This window comes from Homo sapiens, chromosome 1 (genome assembly GCF_000001405.40).
Source record: "Homo sapiens chromosome 1, GRCh38.p14 Primary Assembly".
Taxonomy (NCBI): domain Eukaryota; kingdom Metazoa; phylum Chordata; class Mammalia; order Primates; family Hominidae; genus Homo; species Homo sapiens.
The window spans coordinates 48571460-48590823 of record NC_000001.11 but is presented as its reverse complement, the minus strand read 5'-3'; the positions used below and the strand labels follow the sequence as shown (position 1 = coordinate 48590823).

The 19364-nt window shown below is 45.0% G+C and overlaps 1 protein-coding gene across 8 annotated transcripts in view; it reads left to right on the top strand.

Annotated features, from left to right (window-relative positions):
- AGBL4 (AGBL carboxypeptidase 4) overlaps positions 1-19364 on the top strand; it is a 1501444-nt gene that overhangs the window by 1433131 nt on the left and 48949 nt on the right. For all 8 annotated transcript variants that reach the window (NR_136623.2, XM_017002595.3, NM_001323575.2 and 5 more), the window contains one exon: positions 3658-3820. Coding sequence is in view for 7 of the 8 variants with exons in the window: in XM_017002595.3 (XP_016858084.1) it covers positions 3658-3820 (163 nt within the window). In the remaining variant the exon portion in view is untranslated. The remainder of the gene's footprint in view (positions 1-3657; positions 3821-19364) is intronic.

Genomic DNA, 19364 nt, shown 5'->3' with positions numbered 1-19364 from the left:
GAGTTCTCTCTCAGCCAGCCCCAGCCCCCCACACCCTGCCTCCCCGTCTTCCTTCTCACTCAGTTCAGTTTGCTTTAAGCTCCACGGGACACCTAACTCTGTGTTAGGTATTGTGTGGGTGATGAAGATAGAGGTAAACAAGATGTGCCCATGTCCTCAAGCTGCTCATCACCAGTCAGGGTGGGAGACTCTTTGAGAAGGTAGCATTTTGGCTGGCTGATGAGCTGGCATTTGTTTTTGTTTTGGGGTTTTTGTTTTGTTTTGTTTTGAGACAGGATCTCGCTCTGTCACTCAGGCCGGGGTGCAGTGGTATGATCATGGCTCACTGCAGCCTCTATCTCCCAAGATCAAGTAATCCTCCCACCTCAGCCTCCTGAGTAGCTGGGGCTACTGGCTAATTTTTTTTTTTTTTTTTTTGAGACTGAGTTTCACTCTTATTGCCCAGGCTGGAGTGCAATGGCATGATCTTGGCTCACTGCAACCTCCATCTCCCAGGTTCAAGCGATTCTCCTGCCTCAGCCTCCCGAGTAGCTGGGATTACAGGCATGCGCCACCACACCCGCCTAATTTTTTGCATTTTTAGTAGAGACGGGGTTTCTCCATGTTGGTCTGGCTGCTCTCGAACTCCCAACCTCAGGTGATCCGCCCGCCTCGGCCTCCCAATGTGCTGGGATTACAGGCGTGAGCCACCGCGCCTGGCCGCTACTGGCTAATTTTTAAAAATTTAGTTATTTATTTTGTAGAGACAGGGTCTCGCTATGTTGCCAAAGCTGGTTTCAAACTCCTGGGCTCAAGTGATCCACCTGCTTCAGCTTCCCAAAATGCTGGGATTACAGGCATGAGCTACTGTTCCCGGCCTTCTTTAATGGAGTTGACTCCAGCATTAACAAGAAAAGGAAGCTCACTGAGCACCTACCACATGTCAGACCTTTCCCCAGGGTCTGCTTTTACCAATCCCAGTTCTTTTGTATGAGCACAAGACATCTGCTAACAGAGGTTGTATGCCCACCATTCTTTTCTCCATGACTCCTTCTCAGCCTCAATTTTTTTGTAATTGCTGGACGATAATTTCTATCCTCACTGCATTATAGCTTCCTGGAAGGGCAAATGCAGTTTTTGATATAAAAGTTCTTTGCAGGCAGTAAAGACCTTAACAAACTCCAGAGACGGTTGCTGTTACTACCAATCTCACATGCTGAGAACTAGAGAGGCTGTGGGGTGGGAAAAACTCATAGCAAAAGCAATATTGGAAAAGGGCAGGAAGAGGAGATAAGGAGGGGATCAGTATGTGGTGTAGGGAGAGAGCTTTTGCACATTTTCCTTTGTTTTGATACTAAATCTCTGGGGCCTGTTATTTCCATGTGGCCAGAGGGGCAGAGGCCCACAAAGGTCATAGCAATTTTTGAAGTTGATGAGCTGAAAACTCACCTGCCCATTGCTTCAAGCCAGGACATTAGTGGAGATGATGAATTTCTCTGCGTGTTAAGATGCACTCTGAATCCCAGAACTTTTGAATGTCAAACCAGGAAAGGAATTGGCAGATTATTTAGTCCAGTCCCCTCTTTACACCTGAGAGTAAAGAGTGGCCCCAGAAAAGATGAGTATTCAGCATAAGGTCACCCAGCATTTAATGATAGAATCAAAGCAGGTAGCTCCCCATTTGCAGCTGTGGGGCAGAAACAGCCATACCTTTTTCTGTAAGAATCTCTATAGGATGGCCCTGTCTATTTGAGACCACTGCAATTTCAGAAAAGAATGTGGCCTCCTTAGTCCAAGTTCCCTGGAAGGCTGGGTCATAGGCCTCAGAGACCCTCCTCATGTGGGTGAAGTTTCCAGGGACTACAAAAGGGGCACAGTCTGACAGCCTTATTTCTGGGCTTGCCTGATGTTTCTGCATTGCAGCCTCCTTAAGGGTGGGAGTCAAGGTCATCTGTCCTGGTCCAATTGCTGTCTCTTCTCTTCCCTTCTCTTCTCTTCTCTTCTCTTCTCTTCTCTTCTCTTCTCTTCTCTTCTCTTCTCTTCTCTGATCCTCAATGCCCAACTCTAAAACAGGAGAGTTGGAGTTTACTACATGGATTTCAAAGGTCTTTCAGATCTGACATTCTATGATTTTCTGATTTTTCCTTTACCTTAAAATAGACACACACACACACACACACACACACACTTCTCTGTTTCTTTCACAGTCTTTCTGTGCCTTTCTTGTATTGGTGTTTACTTTATCTCTTTTCCTTCTTCCTTTATCTCCTGCCGAATAAGACATGTATTCTCTTATTAAAACCATGGTCTGTTCATTTGCTTAAATTTCCAGGGGTTAGCATAGAATGCCCTTCTAACCCCAAGTGAACTGACCCTCACAACTCTGTGAAAGAGATATTATTTTCACCTCCAAGTTACAAATGAGGAAACTGAGACTAAGACAAGTAAGTCAACTTGCCTGACATCATGTACTCAGTGGGTAGTAGAGCATGTCTTTGAACAGAGGACTTGAGAGTGACATGCTTGTTCATTTCTCTATCCACTGTGATGGGTGCTGTCAACATCTTAGTAAAGAAGCAGCCATGATCCCTATGCTCTAGTGATTCTGGACATGAATCAGCTATCCCTAAAGGAAGTAGATTCTTTGGTTGTCTGGAGTCACTTAGTTCTGGATTCAGATTTGTGCTGTATCACTTACTTGCTCCACCTCTATGAGCAATCTCATATTCCTCATCTATAGAGAGGAAACCTCAGTTTCCTCATCTATAGAGAGATAAAATGTGAACACCTACTTCAAGTGGTTATTTTGAAGCCTAAATGAGATACTGCATGGGAAACAATATCATACAATTGAAAGCACTGCCCAAATTTTAGGGTTTTATTTTTGTTTTTGTTTTGTTTTACTTTTTTTCTTTTTAAAGAATAGAGACATCCCAGCACTTTGGGAGGCTGAGGCAGGCGGATCACGAGGTCAGGAGATCGAGACCATCCTGGCTAACACAGTGAAACCCTGTCTCTGCTAAAAATACAAAAAATTAGCCAGTCGTGGTGGTGGGCACCTGTAGTCCCAGCTACTCAGGAGGCTGAGGCAGGAGAATGGCATGAACCAGGGAGACGGAGCTTGCAGTGAGCCAAGATCGCGCCACTGTACTCCAGCCTGGGTGACAGAGCGAGACTTCATCTCAAAAAATAAATAAAATAAAATAAAATAAAATAAAATAAATAAAATAATAATAATAAAAAGAATAGAGACATGGTCTCACTATGTTGCCTAGGCTGAACTCACACTCCTAGGCTCAAGCAATCCTTCCACCTCAGCCTCCCAAGTAGCTGGGACTACAGGTGCACACCACCATGCCAGGCTCCAAATGTTAGTTCTGATTATCATCAAAATGTAGTTGCTTCTTTTTCCTCTGTCTGCTTTTCCCTGCTCCCTCTCTCTCCATTCATTTTTCCACAAATATTCGTTGAGTGGCAGTTACTGCACCTCAAGAACTCTGCTTGCTTCTGTCATTAATTATGTTTATTTAATCAGTCCTTATAATAATCATGTGATGAGGGGCTAATATCCCACTCTTCAGACAGTGAAGCTGAGACCCAGAGGTGTTGTAAAATTTGCCCACAATCCAATTTGCAGCAGGTGCCGTGATTCTCTCCTCCCTACTCTGTCTTTCACAGTCCAGCACATCCTTTAACCGGGACGCTGTGAAAGCAGGAACTGGCCGTCGCTTCCTCGGTGGACTCCTGGACCACACTTCCTATTGCTACACCCTAGAGGTCTCCTTCTACAGCTACATCATCAGTGGCACCACGGCTGCTGTGCCCTACACTGAAGAAGCCTGTATCCTTAGTCCCCACCCAGCCTTGGGCCAGCCCTCATCCAGCCGAGAGTATCCAAGTCTGACAGGTCAGGAATTAGGCCCCCAGCTCAGGTAAGGGCTGAGACTCTCAGGTGAGGATGGAGGTGCTTCTTCTTCTGGTGGCGTCTTTGGATTGTCCAGTTTGCCTCAGCCCTTAGTATGATACTCCTACCCCAATTGCCATGCTCCAAATCTTTCCCAGGCCAGCCGGACCCATGGCCTGCCCATATCTTACTCTGCTTCCATCTCTCTCCCCTCTCTTCTCTCATGATGCAGTGAGTCTCCTGCCATCTAAGCTATGCAAGTCCACAGGCTGGATGACCATCCCCAGGGTTGCTGAGGAAGAGCTTGATGATCTTGACTCCTTCTAACCCTGAACATACAAAAACATATGTTCTCTTTTCATCTTTTGTCTAACCTATCCTCTCCCACTTTCTCTTCCCTCTACTCACTATTTCCCCTTCTACTTACTTTTCTCACCCTTGTTCCCTCTCCTTCTATGCCCTCCTCCTCCCTCCTCACCTGTCCTGTGCTTCTCTTTCCTTACTTCTTTTTCCCCCTCCTCCCCTCCTTTCTGTCCTCTCTCTCATCCCATCCTCCTTTTCTTTCTCTCCTCTTTGCCTGTCTTCTGTCTTCCTTGTCTTTCCCCTCTCATCCTCTGTGCATCTTTCTCTCTGCCTTTGCATTTCCTTTGACAAATTCCTTTTCCTCTTAGTTTCTTCATAAAATTTCTCTGAAAACTCCAAAGCCTTCCATGATGAAATTAGAAGTTATTTTCTAGTTTGCCTAATTTTTTAAGGATTAGGTAGTAACTCTAGTTTCCCGAGTGTTGATTTTAATATCAAGGTCACTGCATCAGAGCTGTAACAGATCGTGGCAGATTCTGCTTTCCTTGATCCTTTGTTTTCGGGTTGATCTATGTCTCCTTTCCTAACACTTAGTTTTCTCAGAGAAGTGGAGGGAGGAGGAAGGAACTTTAGATGAAATGAACTCTGTATTTCTGCAAATTCCCCCTCCCTGGAGGTAGAAGTGCTCTTTTAGCATTTTTTCAACCCTTGGTGAGTGTTTATGGAATTCCTCTGTGCAGGAAAACATCTTTTCTGAACGTGGCATGACTTAGGGCTAGTCCCACCAGCCAACTGCAACTTAGTGGCTCTGTTTGTATGTGTGTTTGGGAGGGTTGGGGGTATGGTGTCCAGGTACCTTGCCAGGAACATCGGAAGTAGGGCAATGGCCCTAGAAGGAGGGGCTGTCAGGGGGTAGGCCAGGTGTTAGAGCAATGTTCCACATCCTGTTGGACACAGAGATATTATGATTGGAACTGAGAGTTCCCTATGTACAGTCATCAAGACTGAGGGTCATCTTGCAGTCTGCTTTAATACCCACCTGACTCAGCAAGGCCAAGGGAGTAGGCTCTGCTCTGAGGAAGAGGGTCTGTGGGTTCCAAAGTCCTGGCCACCTGTTATGTGCCACATTGCCCCTCTTCATGCCCCATACACACCTTAGATGATGCATATGGCCTATGCCTTCTCCAGAATCTGCTAACTCCTATAACACATGCATATGCTTCATTCCACATTGTACTTGCTTTGCTCTCCCATAATATTATGGCAAAGGGACAGAGAGCTGCCTGGAATAAGAGTTTGAGCTTGTGCACTAAAGGGGATTCTGCAACCCTTATTCATAGTGAGATGAGGGTCCCTCCAGAGGAGGCCTGCCCTTAGTTTGTTGTTTTTTGCTGTCCAATCTGACAGGCTCTCCTACCTTTTCTTAGCACTTCTGACATGCTTCTGTCTTAGAAGAAAATGTGTTTCTTAGTAGAAAGCCCACCCTTGGTTCAGGCCCAAGGTTTCCACCCCTCAACAGCCAACACTCATTTATCAAAAGTAAACACAGCATTAGTACATACCAGGAATCATAAAAGGCACCTAGGGTAAAATACTGAATAAAAAGGCATGATTCCTGACTCACAGAACTTTCAGTCTACTTGGGGAGACAGAAAAGGGAAGAGATAATTACAATGTATGTGATAAATTCTGGTGGAGGAATTCCAGAAGGCTCTGGGACATTTTCATTTGACAAGTATATATTGAGTGCCTGTCATAGGTCAGGTAAAGTTCTAGGCACAGGGAATGTAACAGAGAACATACTAAAGACAAGAATGTCTTTACATGGGGGAAAGAGGGAACTCACACGCAGTCCTAGGAGTCAGGGAAGATTTCCCAGGAAAAGAGACATCTAAACTGAGATTTTTTGTTTGTTTGTTTTTGAGATGGAGTCTCACTCTGTTACCCAGGCTAGAGTGTAGTGGCATGATCTCAGCTCACTGCAACTTCTGCCTCCTGGGTTCAAGCGATTCCCCTGCCTCAGCCTCCTGAGTAGCTGGGATTACAGGTGTGCGCCACCATGTCCGGCTAATTTTTGTATTTTTAGCAGAGATGGGGTTTTACCATGTTGGTCAGGCTGGTCTCAAACTTCTGACCTCGTGATCCACCTGCTTCGGCCTCCCAAAGTGCTGAGATTACAGGTGTAAGCCACTGAGCCCGGCCTAAACTGAGTTTTTAATATGAACTAGTCAAACTGGGTGAGGGTGTTGTTGAAGGGAGGATGTGGTAGACAGAGAGGGGAGTACAGAAGGTATGGGCAGAAGCTGTAAGTGGTCCCTTAGGGCTGAAGGACTTCAGACTCAATGATAAGTCTGAAGTGGAAAGATGTAAGAAGTTTGATCTTGAATGTAGACAATGGAAGGACAGATTCGAGGGGGCCAGTATTGTAGACAGGGACATGCATTAGGAGGCTGTTATAAAAATCCAGGTGAGAAATAATCCAGGCCAAGACCAGAGTGGTGGCTGTAGAATACTTAGAATGTGGAACTGAGAAGACTTGGTAATTGACTATTTGGGAGTGGCGACAGGGAATGGGAGCTCGTGATTGGAAGGGGTTAAGGTGAGTAGAGAGGCTATGCACAAGCTGAGCAGGTCGTGATACTGATGGACCTACCCTGCCTTGTTCTGTCCTCTAGAGGATGAGAAGAGGAAACAAACTGCACCAGGGAAGCTCAGGCCGATTCAATGCATGCAAGGGTGATTTAACCTGGGTTCTGTTTGAAATACTTAAAAAAAAAAAAAAAACTCTCATTTCATAACAGAGGGAGACTTCAGGGAGACAGATTGTGATCTTTGTTGGCTGCTGGCTCCATGTCCCAATCATAAAAAGAAATTACATGGTCTGATGGGAAAGGCAATATGGTCTGGGAGAAAATGTCCTCTAGACTAGGAATCAGGAGACCTGGATTCTGATGACAGCACCAACATCATCCGTGAGAGCACCCTTCAGCAAGTCCTGTAACCTGTCTGAGGTGAGCTTCCTCACCATTACAAAGGGACCAAGGACCTTCACACTTGTCTAACCCCTGCTGTGGGAATTAAATAGAGATATTTATTTAAAGTATAGATGTGGTATTATGCAAACAGAACAAACTTTCGATTCAGACATATCTGGGTTTGAATCCTAGGCTCACCCACTTACTAGATGTGTCACCTTGGGTGAGTTGTATAACCTCACTGGGCCTCAGATTAGTTTCCTAATCTGTAGCAGGAGGACATAATAATACTTAACCTCACCGAGTTGCAGTGAGGTTAAAGGAAATAGCTTTTGTGAGTGTGCACTGTGAACTAAATATTAAGTGACATTGAAAAGGTTTATGTGAATGTGAATGAGGACCACTGTCTGTGTGAAAGAAGATAGATAGGGCTGTTATAGCAAGAAATCAGCAGCTGTTGTTAGGGTTTGTAGGGCAAAGAGCATTGGTGGGGTCATCACAGTTGAGGGTCTTGCCTTGACCGCAGAACAGTGACTGATTCACACAGTGGGAGATGTGCCGTTCCACTGATGGAGTTTCTTGTTTCTGTCATCCAGGGTGCCCCCTTCCTAGTATCATGGAGGCCAGACTAATTAGCTAGAGGATACTGGATGAGTATAACATCAGGAAGGGCTGGGGCTGCAGAGAATCCCAAGGGATATTTCATCTAGGTCCAGAATAGTGTCCGCCGCTCCACAGACCAGAGCATATGTGTCCATTGGTTCAGTTCTTCTCCTTGGAAAAGCACCAGCCAAACATGACCAGGGTTTTGCTCTCTGACTTCCCTTCTCTACTATATCTGGGAAATAAATAAATGGACATGGTGGTTGGTGCTTACCTGGCTGTGTGACCTTGTACTGGTTATCTCACCACTCTGAATCTGTTTCCCGATTTGTAAAATAAAAATAGTACTCACTTTGCATGGTTATTGGGAGGGTGAAATAAGGCACTATATCTGCATTCTCCTGGTACTGCCTGGCATCTGGTAGGTACTCAACAAATGTTCTTGTCTTGACTTGTCTCAGCCCCATGCAGACTACATGGCTTTCCTTCTGTTGGTTGAATCTTTAACTTGACAATCTGGCTTTGGAACTAGCAACTAGTATTTGAATTCTGACTCCACGCTATTACGGGTTGCCTCCAGCAAGTCTTGTCCCCTCTCTCAGCCTGTGTGTGTAATACTTCCTACCCATCAGAGTTTTGTGGAATAAAATTATGTGTGGACTTGATCACTATTCTAGTTCCTTCCAGCTCTGACATTCTAAGATGTTCCTGATTCTAAAATGTAAGTTATATAATTCCATGCTTAGATTAATTGGATCAATAATCCATGGATTATCAATATTCCATGTTATCAATAATGCATACTTTTTTATTGAGTTTTAATATTCAGTGATTCCATGAACATAAGAGTTTCTAATTTAATAGGTAAAATCAATACAAAAGTGTCCCGGGCAGCTAGTCAGGCCCAACCAATAGCTACCTTCATTCTTTTAGTTTAGGGGTTCTTAATTGAGGGGCTTACAGATGGCTTCAACAAAACCCTGTGAACCATCTAAAATGTATGCAAAGCTGTGAGTAAATATGCAGAGTTCATTTTTTGGGAGGAAGGCCCATAGCTTTCAACAGAACCTAAAAGAGAGACATCCTCAGAGGCTTCTGCCATGGCCGGTGGCCTCTTGGCCTCTCTCCTGTCCATGCTGTGGCAAGAATACAGTGCTGGTGTCAGAGTCCTAGGTGTGAGTTCTCTTTTGCGTCATTCTCGCTGAGACCCTAATCCCATATTTAACCACTCTGAACCTCAGTTTCTTCATCTGTAAAGTGAGGAAGATTATTTACATCACAGGATTGTTGTTAGGGCTGCATGGGAGAATGCATGCAGATAAATCACCGGGCATATAGTCTGTGCCATTAAATATTAGGTCCCTTGCCTTTCCTTCCTGTCATTTGTTGTTTTTGTGAAATGATAAATTCCTACGAATTTTGAACCATTCTTCAGGAAACCCTATTTACATTTTACTGGCCTGCCAAGTAATAAATATGCTCTGTTCAAACGATTTGAAAAAGAGGGAGAGAAAGGCTAAACTGGAATCATAAAGTAACCCAGAGCTTATCTGGCATTTGTTTTTAGTCTGGTTACAAGCCAAGAAGAAATAGCTCTTTGACATAATGGATGAGAAAAACATTGGGAACAGAGACCTTGGGTCCTGAGCAGACTGGTTTCCACCCAGGCTTGTAGCTGTGGACACAATGAAATAAGAAAATGCTGGCTCTTAAGGGGAAGGGTATGGCTGATGTGGTCAAGAGAAGATGCTGAGATATCAAATTCAGTTAATTGGGTTAGTCTCATTTCAGAGCCCATATATGCCTTGCACTGCGTCCTCTGAAGCCTACATCACACATTGAAGCTATCGTTTATTTACTCATCCATCCAACCAAACACATTAGACACTAGAAAAAGACAGATGAAAAAAGCTTGGTCTCTGCTTTCAAGATGAAGACAGTTTTGAGGGGAGGGAGAAAGGTAAAGAGACAATAGCATCACAGAGGGATAAAAGTTCTGGCAGAGGGGAACTCTGCTGGTTGGGGAAGCAGTGGGAGTCACCTAAACCAGCTGGGGTGGTGCAGGAGGGGGTCGGAAGAAAGGCTTCGTGGAGGAAGAGAAACTAGGGCTCAGACTTCTAGGATGAATGGAATGCAGAGGGAGAAGTACAGGGGAGAACCCAGATGCCAGAGAGAGGATGCTACATCCAAAGGATTGGAGGGTAGCTGGGGCTGGGCCAGAAGCAGCAGGTGATTAATAAATATAGGCAGAGCCAGACCATGGAGAGAAAGAGAAAGATTTGTGAAATATGTAACAGGTACATTGAACAGGCAGTACTCACAAGGTGCAATTATGAAACAACTTTATTTTTTGTCTCCCATTGGCTTTATAGATAGATAGATAGAGATTATAGATCTAGAGACATAAAAGCTCTGGCAGGCCCCATGAGTCTCCAGTCACTCTCAGGAAATTAAAAGTTCTCTAATTAATTCTAGTCACAAAACAGTCTCAGTTTAGCAATGACTATGTCTGATCCAATCAAAAACATCAAACCTCTTCTAAGTAAAAACCCTCCCCATCCTCTAGCTCAGACCTGTCTCAAATAGGCTGCTCATGTGACCAAGGGGTTAGGGTCTGGCTCACTTCTGTTTCCCTGACTTGGCTTCCCAGCCTTTCCCCTCAATCTGGGTAACAGTAGCTGTTTACTCCTCCAAGGTTGAGCAAGATGAGGGAGAGGAGAAAAGGAACAGGAAAGGTCTTAGGGGACTAGTACTCTCATGAGACAGCATGGGCAGTCCCTCACGAACTTCTTTAGACACACCCTCTCCTGGTGCTTGAGCTCTGTTGATGTGAGCAGATGTGTCTGCTCAGTTCAGTTGCTTATGGTTCCTTCCTAAGCCTCTGGTGATCTGATGGTTTACCCCTGTTGGGGTCACTATTCCCCTCCACTGGCTCTCATGTCTGAAGGTGAGCTAAAGATGGTGAAACTGGTTTTCTGGGTTACTTTTGCAAGTCCTGCATGGTGGTTTCATACTTCACTCTGAACTGTAATGTCTATAGTCTTGAGATCTCAGTCGAAACTACAATTTTAGAAGTCCCATTTTAACATGTTCCAATATCTAACAGGTAGGATTGAGTATTCTTTTTTTTTTTTTTTTTTTTTTGAGGCGGAGTCTCACTTTCGCCCAGGCTGGAGTGCAGTGGCACGATCTCGGCTCACTGCAAGCTCCGCCTCCCAGGTTCATGCCATTCTCCTGCCTCAGCCTCCTGAGTAGCTGGGACTACAGGCGCCCGCCACCGTGCCCGGCTAATTTTTTTTTTTTTTGTATTTTTAGTAGAGACGGGGTTTCACCATGTTAGCCAGGATGGTCTCGATCTCCTGACCTCGTGATCCATCCGCCTCAGCCTCCCAAAGTGCTGGGATTACAGGCGTGAGCCACCATGCCTGGCCGGATTGAGTATTCTTGCTGATTATTTGGATACGGGGTAGAGGAAAGAGTCAAGTAAGATGCCCAGTTCTTGATTCGAAAACAATATGGGGCTGGGCGCAGTGGCTCATGCCTGTAATCCCAGCAATTTGGGAGGCTGAGGCGGGTGGATCACTTGAGGTCAGGAGTTCGAGACCAGCCTGACCAACATGGTGAAACGCCATCTGTACTAAAAATACAACAAAAACAACAACAAAATAGCCAAACTTGTTGGCGGGCCCCTGTAATCCCAGCTACTTGGGAGGCTGAGATAGAAGAATCACTTGAACCCGGGAGGCAGAGGTTGCAGTGAGCTGAGATCATGCCATTGCACTCCAGCCTTGGGGACAGAGCAAGCCTTCATCTAAAAAAATAAAAATAAAAATAAAAAACAATATGATAGATGATAGCTGTTAAGGCCAATCATTTAGCTACAGACTATTGGAGAAAAGGGTTGGAGAGGGGGATATTTTGAGCTCTGTATGTAATATATTGAGTATAAGGGACTTATGTAAAATCCAAATGGAAAAGTTTGGTTGGCAGAGGGCTCTAAAGGCCTGACGTTCTGGAGACAGGCCTGGGCTTTGGATAGACTCAACATAGATTTTTCTACGAGGTACTATAAAGTCACAATGAAGAAAAGATTTTCTTGGTGTACACAGTCAAGGTGGGCTTCTGCTTGATAACTTGGTGAAAAGAAAGCTAGACTGTGAGTTAAAACCCCAGTTCCAGTATGACCTTTTGCCCCTGACCCCCTCATAAAGCTATGTGGACTTGGTTAAATCATTTCACCTCTCTAGCTAAAGCCTGATACTAGGTAGATACTCAGTGAATGCAAATGAATGAATGAATGAATGAATGAAGTGGAAGCAGGCCTCACCCAACATCTGCTAATCCACTTGGATCAAGAACAAGGCAATGAGTTATGTGATCTCTGCTGTTCAGAAACAGTATCGGCATCTGTATGTGGTTGGGGATGGGTACTGCCTAGATATTTGTTCTTGCCAGAGAGCCTTCACTAAATTTTCGGTGGAGGACAGAAGAGTAGGAAGCAGTCAAGTTTCACCTATTGGTTGGCATCTAAAGATACCTAGGTACTTCTCAGTTCTTGTGTGTCATACCCAAGGTCAAAGCTTTGTTAAGATTCATAAGTGAAAAAAGCTTCCATCAGAGGGTTTTGGGAACCGAAGTCTAAACTGTACTGAAGTCTGTTGATTTTTTTCTCCTCCCTACAGACATGGGCTAGAGTTTGATCTTTAAATATGAATCCTTCTGATTGACTATCTGGCTGAATGAATGACTAATAATAATAGTAGCAGTAATGGTAAAAATAATAATATTGAGAATGTGCTTCATGAAGAGGCTCAGGTCCCTGCACTAGAGCATAAGCTTTGCCTGTAACTTGTGGTGTAGGTTTGAGGAGGTCTGTTCCCTGCTTTGGGTCCTAATTTTCCTATCTTTAGCATAGAAGATGAAATGATGTGATCTTTAAGTTTATTTCCAGATACATAGAGAATCATTTGATTTGGACCTTTGAGATAGTATCTCCATTTCACAAGCAGGGAAATTGAAGCCCAAAAAAATCAACCTACATGCCCCAGGCTGCACAGCTAGTAGTGGTAGAGTGCGAATGTAAAATCCAGATTGATCCAGCTCAAAGTGTGTGTTCGCTCCACTCTGCCTGTTAGGTTTTTATCTAACCTTCCTCCCTGCTCTGTAATCTTCCCAGTTTCCATCCATTTCCTGTTGGACAAGAGCCTTTTCTGAACCCTGCAGAGGTTGGGACCTACCAGTCAGCCCTTACTCTCACCCCTCACTCTCACCCCTCTCTCTGATCAGCGTCCCTAGTTTGACCGATTTGCAATCCCTGATAGCCCAGTTGCAGCTCTGCTGGATGCTGCCCAGACTCTCTCTCTGCAGTGCCCGGCTGAGCTGCTGCCTGTTGTGAGCCCTGCCTTGGGCTGACTGCCTCTCACCTCCAGATCAAAATGTGCCCCTGATTTCTGAATGTCTCCTGCCCAGGCCTGGAAAACCTAAACATTATTACCTTCCCCTAGCCTCCCTCATCCCCTAAAATGAGGTTTCTAAGGGTTTTATCTGCTGTTGTCAAGTTTATGGCCATAATTTGAAATGCTGTTAATATTACTGTCAGCAGAGAGCTACAAATTACAAAGTTGTAAAGTTTCTTTATAGTGATAACTGTCAGCCTTCACTAGCAGCACCCGCAAGCCTCCATGGAAACCAAGTCGATGATAAAGAGAGTTGATATTGTTTCAGGATTATGGCTGTTAGCTTACGGTCAAAATAAATCCTGGTTGGTTCCTAAGTAACTTGAACCTGTTTGTCTATATGAATATTCCCTTCAACTTATGCATATAATACTTGTGTTCCCACCTTCTTATTGCACAAGTGTGGGAAGAGCCCAAAAGTGGAAAGACCCAAGATTAGCTCCAACCAGTTTCAGGTTTAGGCCTAACTTTTATCAGTCCAAGGACAATGAGAGGGACTGTCTGCTATGTTGGAGAAGCTTAATAAATAATTGTTGAATGCATGAACGCCTGGAACATTTGAGGGGGGCTTAATTGGACAATAATTGGAACAAAGATGTTGAGTCATTTCTGCCTTTAGAGTAAAAAGAATAAAACGAAAGCAGCTTTGGAAGTAATGATTTGGGGAAATGAGGTTTCCTGTGCAGTAAAATGGTTTAGGCATCTTAACTGACACTATTAAGTTTGATATTGATCAACAGGGCAATGTGTCAACTCCCACATCCACCACACTACCCTTCTGCCAGAATTGAAGCTGATTTTGGCTGCATTCACAGAAATAGATTTGGGGAGTAAGGAGGTGTTGGCCTTTCTTTGCCCTGTTATGTCAACGACCCTGGGAACTGTGTGTTCATTTCTGGCCCCTACTCTATGTCGAATATTGATAAAATGGTGCACAGGTCCTGAGGCATCAGGTTGGAAAGGGAACACAAAGCTAGGTTTACCAACTGCCCTGGTTTGCCTGGGACTGAGTGAGGAGTTTCCCAAAACAGAGGACTCTGTGCCAAAACCAGGACATTTCTTAGCAAACAAAGATGGTTGGTCACCCTACCCAAAGCTATGATATATGAGGAACTGGTAAAAATAATTGGGGATATTTTCTTTGGCAAGAAGACATTTAGGGGCTACATATATGCTTTGGTCAAATCTCTAAAGTAGCAGTCCCCAACCTTTTTGGCACCAGGGACCGATTTCATGGGAGAAAAATTTTCAATGGACCAGGGTTAGGAGGGGAGATGGTTTCAGGATGAAACTGTTCCACCTCAGATCATCAGGCATCAGTTATATTCTTAAAAGAAGTGCACAACCTACATCCCTCATATGCATAGTTCACAATAGGGTTTGCATTCCTATGAGAATCTAATGCCAGTGCTGTTCTGACAGGAGGAGGAGCTCAGGTCATAATGATCCATCACCTGCCACTCACCTCCTGCGGTGCAGCCTGATTCCTAACAGGCCACAGTACCAATCCATGGCCAGGGGCTTGAGGACCCCTGCTCTAAAGAGCTCTCATGAAGCAGAGGGAGTAGATCTGTTCTCTGTGGCTCTAGAGGCTAGAACAAGAGCCAGTGGGAGATAGCTCCATTCTGAACTTTTGTGGGGAAGATAAGGACAGGGAGGGTCTGGAATCCAAGGCTACACTCACTGAGCACCTATGCTGTACCAGGCCCTATGCTGGTTTCTGGGGATGCAGAACTGAGTGGCTGTAGCCTATGCATGGTGAGGTTCCCAGGTGGTGGAGGAGATGGGCAGGAGAGTGACTGCAGGACAGTTGTGACAGATGGGAACACAGGACATGGAGAAAAGAAGCATCTAACCTAACCTTGAGGGGATCAAGGGGTGGGAGGAGGTGCAGGAAGGAAGCACCATCACTTTTACCAAGTCTAGAAGGATGAGAAGGGAGCAAAGTGCTCTGCAGGCAGAGAGACTAGTTGTGCCCAGTCCAGAGAGCTGCTTTCCTCCTGTGGACATGTCTGGGCCTTGGGTGTGAGTTAGGGAGTGAGAGGCAATGAGGCCGGAGAAGGCTATGGGAACCAGCTAGTGAAGCACCAGTGACCCACAACCACACCAGTGCTGCCTGGAGGTCACTGTGGCAGCAGCGGGCAGGATGAGTTGAATGGGGTCAGTTGGAGATAGGTGAACATATCGTAAGTAAATGCCACAGCACCTCACCAAGTAACACCCGCCTGCCCTTCTAACTCTTTTCATCTTTAAAAGGATGTGTTCCTGGGAGATCGGCTCTGAAAGTAAATCTAAGGATCTCCTTCCTCCTGATTCCCCTCGGGAGCCCAGATCCAGTTTGTCAGATCATACTGTCTGGCCAGAAGTTTGGGATATCTCCTAGTGGAATACTGGGTATTGGACAGTATTTTGATGTGAGATTCATGAGCCACATACTTTATTAATCCAGTCTCTGCTGCTGACTTGCTGTGATCTCGAGCAAATCACTACCCTGCCCGAGATCCCATTTGTAAAATGAAGGGTTTGGACAAAGGGCCTCCATCCTTCAGGCTCATTCAAAGGGTTTATTTAATTTAGATATAACATTTATTGAACATCGACTACGTGTAGGACATGGTCATCTTAGGATTTGCTGTGACCCCTGGGGCCACAGGGCCATTCTCTACAGGAGCACAAACTCTCCCTTTCTTTCAGAAAGACGCTAAAACTAGCATCTCATACCTCACTTCAGGCTGCATGCCCAGCCAAGACATGCTGCCTGTCTGGGATTTCTTATCCATCAATATTTTCCTTAAGATGATAAATGTGCTGCCAATAAGAGGAGGCAGCTGCCAACTCTGTCTGAGACAAGGGCCTTTAGCTGGGGTTGTGGCCGTGCTTGGCTTGTTGATATGTCTCAAGAGACAGGAGGTGGGAGTTGTGGCTGGGAGGGATGCAAGTTGGAACTTAGAGGGAGGAGGAGGTCAGGACCACTGCTCTCAATCCATGCAGTTTTGGCCATGAGTCAGTGGAGAGGAGAGAGAGGAGGTAAAGGATGCTTGGATGTCAGTTCAAAAAAAAAAAAAAGAAAAGAAAAGAAAAAAATATACATATTTTTATGGTATTTATGAAGCTCCTGCAGAATGCCAAGACCTGGGTAAGCCATCCAGAAATAAACAGCATTCATCAGTGTATAAAGTGTATTCGGAACCATCATTTCATTTGATCCCCACAGCAATCCGTAGAGATGAGTATTATTATCTCTATTTTACAAACAAGGAATTCAAGGGTCAGAGAAGGAGGTGCATTTTGTCTCTGTGTTCGTATCCTAAGCCAGGACCAGTCTCAGCCTCTAGAAGTACAGAAACTCAGAATTGGATTAAGAGGAAGCCTGTCCAGGTGGAACAGTGCATAGGTGGTGGGGCAATATCCTCACAGAAGCTTGAACTTGTTTCTTCTGATATTAAATCCTCTGATTGCTCCACTAAAAGACACTTTCTTTGAAGAAATCAGCCATATGATTGAGAAGCTAATAGCTGAGATATAACAGATGCCATCGTTAATAATAGAATGAAGCAAGCATAGTCTTTGGAGCCAGGCTGACCTGGGTTCAAATCTCGGTTCTGCTATTTACCAGTTGTGTGAACTTAGGCAAGTGACCTAATCTCTCTGAGCCTCAGTTTGTCCATCTGTAACAATGATTATTATATTTACCTCACAGTGTTGTTTTGAGTAGATGGAAGCAAAACAAATTCTCAGGTGCCTAATAGATTACCTGGAACATAATAAGCACTCAATAAACGATGCTCTTATTATTATTATTACTAGCCAAGTACCCAGTTGGATGAAATCTGAATAATAAATTCCTAGGTTATCAGAAGAGATGAAATCTGTTTGGATTATAGGTTTCATGGAAACTTCCATGAAGGGTTCTTAAGATTCCTAAGAGGTTCTTCAGATTCTTAAATAACAGCTTTCTTAAAGGTGTGTTCAGAGTACTCTGATACCCCAATAGAAATCTCTGTCCTCACGTGCATAGTTTGGAAATTTTACCAGGACAAATTCATTTAGGATTAGTCTCAGGACTCAGTCTACAGTCAAGATCTGTGACTAAAGCCAGGGTTCAGTCTGTGACTGGGATTTGGTATTTGATGCTCTGCTAGAAACAGCATATATTAGCCCTCCTTAGTCTGGTGTTGAGGAAATATGTTATGATAAAGAGTTAAGACACTTGGGTTCTCATCATGGAATTTAAGAACTGGAAAGTCCAGTGATTTTAATTTTTTAATGTGAATGTAGACAGCTGACACTTCATCTGTGCCAGTTTCCCACTCTCCCTACTGCACCTACCTTGTAAATATCCGGGCAGATCAAATGGCATAGTAAGCGAGAAATGATTTTGAAAACCGTTTCACCCTGGACTCAAAGAAGGGATGATTCCTGGTGAAGGGGAAGAGCAGGAGGGGGCTGGGGAGAAGTTGGAAGCATGTTGCTCTATTGGACAGAAAGATCTAGAATAGGGAAGGGGCAGGGGCAGGGCCTAGAGGAGGCGCTGGGCCGGTGTAGAGGCAGCCACAGAGGACCCAAGTCAGTTTAATTCCCAGCCTGTGTTAGTAGGGATGTGCATCAGAACCTAGCTCCATCAGAAGGATACTGGCCACAGGGCTGGTAACCCACTGAACTGAGCAACAGTCTGGACTCTCTCCAGCTCCTTCCCTCTGCCACTTGTCTTTGGGGGACCACAAGCTGCGGCTTTGTTGCAGTTGCCTGAGGTTGAAGTGCCCTCTCCTGGCCCCCAGGGTGCATGGCTGCTGTGAGAGGCTCCCTTCCACATCGAGGATTGGAAGGCAGCCTGGTCCTTTGTCAGGGCTAAGACCTATGCTCTGGAGGGCTTGAGCTATCTTTGTGGGGCTGGAGACAGGAGACGCACCCCCCCTTCAGTTCTCCCAGGTCTCTCTCTGCATAGCATTCCTCTTCCCTGATAGGTCATCTCTCTTTCCTCTTTCATTCCCCGTTTTGTTTTCATTTTTGTCTTTTTGTCTTTCTATTTGACTCTCTCTCTCCCACACACACACTCACACACACTCACACACACACACAATTTGCACATAACTTTATTACACCCTCTCTTACCTTCTCCACTTTTTATCTTCTCCCCCCACCCAACCTCCCTTCTTTCCTCCCACCTCTTCCACTTTTTTTTCTCTTTTTCTTCCGCCTTAGCTCCCTCTCTCAAGGCGAATAGTGGAAATGCATTGCACTAAATACATATTTAGTATCAGAAACTCAAACAAGAAGCCACTCTGTCCTCTCTTAAGTGGAGAATTAAGTATTCTCCACTTCGATGACCTTGAGCAATGCTTTGTGCTCTGACACCTTAACTGATGTTGAGGATTGAATGAGGGGACCTGTGTCAGTGCCTTTTACAGTGGCCTCTGACCTGGGCAGGGGCTCGGTAGTCCCTGTCCTTCCTCATATCCCTTTCAGCCCCACTCTGCTGCCTCCTTCTTTTGTTCTTTTCCAATTCTTCCTTCCCTCTCTCCCTCCTTCACTTTCCCCATTCCTCATACCATAGTTCAGATTCAGATTCAAATAGTGTAATACCTATTGAGCTTTTCATAAATTGGGGACTTGACCTTCACCTTGAAGGAACTGTTTTTGGGGTTCACTGTCTGTCACTTCTGCCTCCCCAAGAGAGGACAGAGTAGCTTCTTGTTTGAGTGTCTGATGAGGGGCTGAATTAACTGTGAACTGAGTTAAGGGACAACCAGAGGTTGTCAGCATGCCCAGAGGAGTCTCTGTTCCCAGTGTGTCCTACAGGAAAGGTTTGTGGTGAGAAAGTAATCTCCCGAGGCCCACATGACATCCTGGTGGATGTGTCCATGGGCCAGTTATTTTAATTTGCTTGCTCATTTATTTATCACTTGTGGTAAATTATAACAAAAGCACCTGCCACAATAAAGCAATGAAAGGCATTTCCTAGCCCTGAGCTCTTAAAGAAACATCTCACCTGGGAATCCATGTGGGGGCCCAGTAGGAGGCAGTGGCCTCTGGCTTCAAGAGCATTCCTTCAGCAGATGCCAACATGAGTGTCATGAGGATGCCTCTCATAGTGTCCCCTGATGAATGCCAAGGGCACAGTCCCAAAACACAGTGCAAGCACGC